Source organism: Homo sapiens, chromosome 6 (genome assembly GCF_000001405.40).
Source record: "Homo sapiens chromosome 6, GRCh38.p14 Primary Assembly".
Classification (NCBI taxonomy): domain Eukaryota; kingdom Metazoa; phylum Chordata; class Mammalia; order Primates; family Hominidae; genus Homo; species Homo sapiens.
In genome coordinates, this window is record NC_000006.12 from 79,734,601 (window position 1) to 79,741,017 (window position 6,417).

The following is a 6,417-nucleotide window of genomic DNA, read 5'->3' on the forward strand; positions in this document are numbered from 1 at the left end:
GTGCTCTGAATGGCAGTGGATGATCAGTCGTTAGAAAGGAATATTCCTGGCTGGGTGCGGTGGCTCACGCCTGTTATTCCAGCACTTTGGGAGGCCGAGGCGGGCAGCTCACTTGAGGTCAGGAGTTCGAGACTAGCCTGGCCAACACAGCAAAACCCCATCTCTACTAAAACAACTACAGAAATTAACTGGGTGTGGTGGTGTGCACCTGTAATCCCAGCTACATGGGAGGCTGAGGCAGAAGAATCACTTGAACCCAGGAGGCGGAGGTTGGAGTGAGCAGAGATCGCACCACCGCACTCCAGCCTGGGGGACAGAGCGAGACTCGGTGTCAAAGAAAAAAAAAAAAAAAGAAAGGAATATTCCTGACATTTCTGTCTATTCTTTGTCGAGTGGGGAGGCATTTTTTTGCCAGTTTGTTTCAGCTTTGTGCCTGGTAATCACAGACATTACCATTACACACATTCACCATTTACCATTACATACGTATTTGTGGGATAAACAAACAAAATACCTCTGTGGGCAATTGAAGGAAAAATTGCCCACCAAATCTATTATAAAATCTATCATGTGTTTGCACCCCAATCTAAAGCAATTTAAAAATCCATTCTTTTTTACGGATAAGTGGGAAAGTCACTTTCACTTTACAAAGTCAATTATTCACTAGAAGATTTCTTTAAAAACTGGACATTGGTTTGTCTGAAATTACACAATAAATATACACGTAAGCATGACTTTTGTTAAGTCTTCTTCCGAGTGCCCTACCTTATATTGCAGCCACATTGACATGGCTTGATAAATCTGTCATCTTGGTTCATGCCTCTGTGCCTTTGCATAGGCTGACCCCTCCCGGAAAGGCCCTTCCACACACTCTACCTGTTGAAACTCTACTTTAATTTCTAGGCCCTTTTCAGGTACCAACACTCACGTGGTAGTTCTGTTGATCAGAACTGATCTTTCCCTGGTATCTTTCTGCAGTTTTTGTTTGTGTTCATGGTAAACACCTCTGCTACTTCCTAATTATAAGCTCCATGAGTAAAAAAGACCTTGGCTAAACTCTTTTTACTTCCCGGTGCTCCATGCCAAATAACTTGTCTTGCAGAGAATGTTCTCACCGTTTCTCCCTAGGTACCACTTACAGCAGAGGAGTAGAGGCCTTCAGACTCTTTCAGGAGGGTATTTCTCTGGAGCTGTGGTTTATCTTAAAAATTCATGTGAATTTTACATTCAGTTCTATCATGTAGTATTAGTAATTTTAATATAAAATTGGTTAAATAGACTCCTATGTAAAATTTAGACTCCAGAAACTTCCCGCTGTTTACGCTCCAATCAGTTAGACTTTCTAACACATGACTCTGGAGAAGGAAGTGAACTCTCTTTCTGTGGTGCAGAGGGGAGGACCAGTGGGGTCTTAGGGCTCCTTGTCTCCTAAGAAATGTTCGCATTTCTCAGTTGAACAATGTAAGCAGAAGCTTTAAAATGTTTGTTGAATTAAACAGTGTAATGTAACGTAAAAAGTATTTGTTCCAAATGCCAAATAATTGAGAAAACATAGTCAAAACAGAGAGAGGCAGCTTATCCCTCAGAAGCCTAGAATAACATATCAGAGTATTATTTTAAATAAGGTAAGGCCTCCAAAATGCATTGTACTCACATTTCCTGATGTTTCCCCTACCTTCTCCAATTCTCATGTTCAACTTGTGATGATTGCATTAACACGCTTGTAGCCAGTTGCTCTGAAAGCCCACCAACAGAATCCCACACAAGGAAAAGTGCCTCCTGATTTCCATTTTGGCAGATATTTTAGCCTATGAGATTTTGGGCCTGTGCTCATTCTCATGATTGTGTTAGTAAAAAAGATGCAGGACTTTATAAGTGACTGACACCTAGCATTAATATCTAGTTGCAAAGGAAGTATAATTCAGTTTTTATTGACATGCTTTACAGAGATTTCTAAGATGGCCTAAGAAAAGAACAGATTAATAAAAAGCCTTCGGAAATAAGTAAATTGCTGAATGAACATGTAAATAAATAAAACACCCCTAACTCTTGCCCTCTGCTAAAATAAATACTAATGCTAAGGGACTTGAAGAAATCATTTCCTAAACAACATTCCTAAACCCCAAAGATGCTAAATGCTTCCCAAAGGAAATATCTCCATGATAAGCTGATCATGGAATGCAGTGTAACATAGAACTGTCTGGACTCTGTATGGGGAAATGTGTTCATGCAAAAACCTGGTGCTCTGCATTATAACCTCTAACAATAATCCAATTGAAAATGCCAAAGTGCATTTTCACCAAGCAAAGACTTCTTCCTTTACATCTTTTATGTATCCTAGCAAGAGCCTTATTAATATTTTTAAAATGGATAAGGGACAGTAGACCAGCACACAGAACCACATGATGGAATTTTCTATCTCCGTAGTAGCACCTCCCTCAATAGCTCTTAAATTCCTCGTATAATGTAGATTTAAATGTCAGCAAAATAAGAGTTAATTGTACATGTACTTGGTGAGGTGTGAAAGAGTGCTTTTATATTTTTTTTCTCCTTGAATATTTGCTTATATTTCTCCCTCCTTGCCTGCTTACAAAACTAACAGACAGGATTTTCTCTAATCTGGCTTTGACAATGTAATGGAATGCCTTGCGTACATTGCCCCTTTTTTTAACGCTTATCAAACAGCGCCGTTCCTTGCATTGGGACTCTCTGAAACAGCCATTGTATCATTTATGGCCTGGCTGTCTTTCCAGTGCTGCCGAGTATTTTCTGTTGCACTTGGCTGAGATTGTATACATGCAGTAAAATCACTGAGCTGAGGAAGAGCTGCCTGCCTGCTGTTCCCGCAAGGCAAACAGCATTCAGAAGGGCAACTCACCAGATTCGATAACATTTCAGTCACACTGTGACGGTGCATACAGGTTTAATCAACTTCACCACAGACATAATTCATGGTGGATCCCTTTTGTTTCACTTATAATCAGAATGAATACACACAGGAAGCTCATTTAGCCCCCACCATTCCTCATCGGCTGCCATGATAAACATCGATTGTATTTTCCAGGGTCAGAAATGATGAAATCAATATCTAACATGGCAAGTTGTATTTGCCCATACTCCTTCATTCAGATTGCTTGACAAATTTTAAACCTCTTACATTGCATTTATTTTAGGGATTAAGTTTGTGAGCTTATAGATTTAAATGTCAGCAAAGTAAGAATTAGTTGCACATGAAACTGACTACATTAAATTTTAAAGTGAAAGTAGGTATTATTAAACCCCACACATAGAAGTATTAAAGGCCGGGTGAGGTGGCTCACGCCTGTAATCCCAGCACTTTGGGAGGTTGAGGCAGAGCGGATCACGAGGCCAGGAGATCGAGACCACGGTGAAACCCCGTCTCTACTAAAAATACAAAAAAATCAGCTGGGCGTGGTGATGGGTGCCTGTAGTCCCAGCTACTTGGGAGGCTGAGGCAGGGGAATGGCGTGAACCCGGGAGGCGGAGCTTGCAGTGAGCCGAGATCACGCCACTGCACTCCAGCCTGGGTGACAGAGCGAGACTCCGTCTCAAAAAAAAAAAAAAAAAAAAAAAGGAAGTATTAAAATATTTTATTGTTATGATCCACTAACTCATTCATTGATTACTTTGTTCATCCTTCCTTTGTCATATATTAATGTAGCACTTAGGATTTTTAAGAGAGCTTGAAAGTAAAAGGTTAGGTATTAATCTGTTTTCTGTTACTACAACAAAATACCTGAGACTGGGTAATTTATAAACAACAGAAGTTTATTTTCTGATAGTTCTGGAGGCTGGGAAGTCCAAGATCAAGGCATCAGTATTAGGGAACAAATGCTGTGTCCTCACATGGTGGAGGAGCAAAAGAGCAAAGGGGCCTAAGCTGGTTGTCTCCAGCCCTTTTGTAAAGCACTAATCCATGCATGAGGTAGAGCCCTCATGACTTAATGACTTCCCCAAAGGCCCCCCTTCTTAATACCCCCACAATGGGGACTAAGCTTCAGCATGAATTTTGGAGACACATTCAAACCATAGCAGGCATTGACATATAAAGGTGACTTCAAATTGTAAAACTTCATAAAAATGTTATATTGGAAGTACTTTTTTGTTTCATTTTGTCCATTCATTCATAAAATGTAAGGTAATTACTGTGTGTGGCCCAAGACCTGTGCTAAGAACTGTGTGGATTTAAATAAGAACTAGCCGCCATTCTCTAGGAGCTCACAGTTCAGTGGAAAAGAAAGAGACACATAAAAAGAAGATAACTGGCAAAGAAGTCACAGATTAGGTTATCTCATCCACAGGAACCTCACAGGTGATCTGCTCCACGGGCCCTGTAGAGGAGGCAGAAATCAGAGAAAAGAGAAATGCCAGCTCTGAAATGGCTCAAGGTATTTTAGGAATGATGAAAAATTAGAGTGCTAGGAACAGGAATAATAAGAAAAGCTACCAGAAAAATGGGAGGAGGAGCCAAAACGTAAAAGGCGATGTATACCATGCTATGGTGCCTAGACTTCATTCAGTCATGGAAAACCATTGGCAATTAAACAATTGTATGTCTAATAAAATTTTTTCACCGTGTATTATATTGTGTTATTATTGTGTTACTTAATACAGTATTATTGTGTTACTTAATACAGTTTATTTTATGGTAAAATTAATCATAGTAATGATAAGTCAGTGGTGCTACACTAGACCTTATTGATTTCCAAAATTCTTATTCTGCTCTTGAACCTCTCTGTGAATGTTTTTAGTTCTTTAAAATGTTGTAAGAACCGTTTAAGACTCAGAAGACATGGGTCCAATTGGCCTTCGGTAGCTTTGTAACCTTACATAGGCTAATTGCTTTCTCTAAGATCTGGTTCCCTATCTGTCAAATAGGTATAATTGTTCCATGCTTCCAAACGAACTCACAGGGTTGTGGTAAAAATTAGGTTAAATATTGCGCATGAATTATTTTTAAGACAGTGGAACACGACACACGAGAAAGGTATTATTATCATTGTCATTATTAATTTTATTTGAGAAATTGAGGTCAACCTGAATTACTTGGCAATTAGTGATCTGAAACAATTTTCTTCCCTGGAACACTAGATATGTAACAGCTAATTTACAAACATGTAGTAGAAATTTCTTTATTTAAACCTCATTTTTTTGATAATTGATGAAAATGTCTTTAGGTGAATTGCCTGAAAATAAGTCAAAAAGAGAAGACACATAGACTACTCTGGTTTGAACAGCCCCCAGGGTCATGCAGTGTGTTATCTGCACAACCATGCACAATGCCTTTGCCAACATAAGAGTTGGGTAAGAGTAAGAAGGGAATAGTGGAAAAGCACAGATTTTGAAGAGATTTGAGCTCAGAATTTTGCAGAGTTGAAAGATACAGGCTGCTCTGCCTATGGAGTAGCCATTCTTTATTCCTTCACTTAATAAATTTACTTTCACTAAAAAAGAAAAAGAAAAAAGGGAGAAAGATATAATTCATTGGCCCCAAAACACACTCAGAGCATGACAAATGCACACTCCCAGCTCTACCACTAATTGGCTGTGGACACTGATCAAGATACTTCAACTCTTGGTGCTCTTGTTTCCCTATCTAGTAAAAGAAAATATTAACAATGCTTGCCTATGAGGCTTGTGGTGAAGTAGAAGTGAGTTAAAATTTGTACTCAACATATGGTACAGAGTAGGCACTTGAAACATGTTGGCTATTATTACAAAGGAATGCCAATTAGACAGCATATTTATCACTGGCAACAATGAATGACAGAGGATAATACACTAATATCTTTAAAGTACTAAAGGAACAAAAATTTCCAGTCCAGAATTTTATTAAGCCTAGATAAATTATAAATGAAAGAAACTATCATCAGAATGAACAGGCAACCTACAGAATAGGAGAAAAATTTTGCAATCTCTCCATCTGACAAAGGCCTAATATCCAGAATCTACAAAGAACTTAAACAAATTTACAAAAAAAAAACAAACAACCCCATCAAAAAGTGGGCAAAGGATATGAACAGACACTTCTCAAAAGAAGATATTTATGCGGCCAACAAACACATGAAAAAAAGCTCATCATCACTGGTCATTAGAGGAATGCAAATCAAAACCTCAATGAGATACCATCTCATGCCAGTTAGAATGGCAATCATTAAAAAGTCAGGAAACAACAGATGCTGGAGAGGATGTGGAGAAATAGGAATGCTTTTACACTGTTGGTGGGAGTATAAATTAGTTCAATCATTGTGGAAGACAGTCTGGCGATTCCTCAAGGATCTAGAACCAGAAATACCATTTGACCCAGCAATCCAATTACTGGGTATATATCCAAAGGATTGTAAATCATGCTACTATAAAGACACAAGCACATGTAATTTTATTGTGGCACTATTC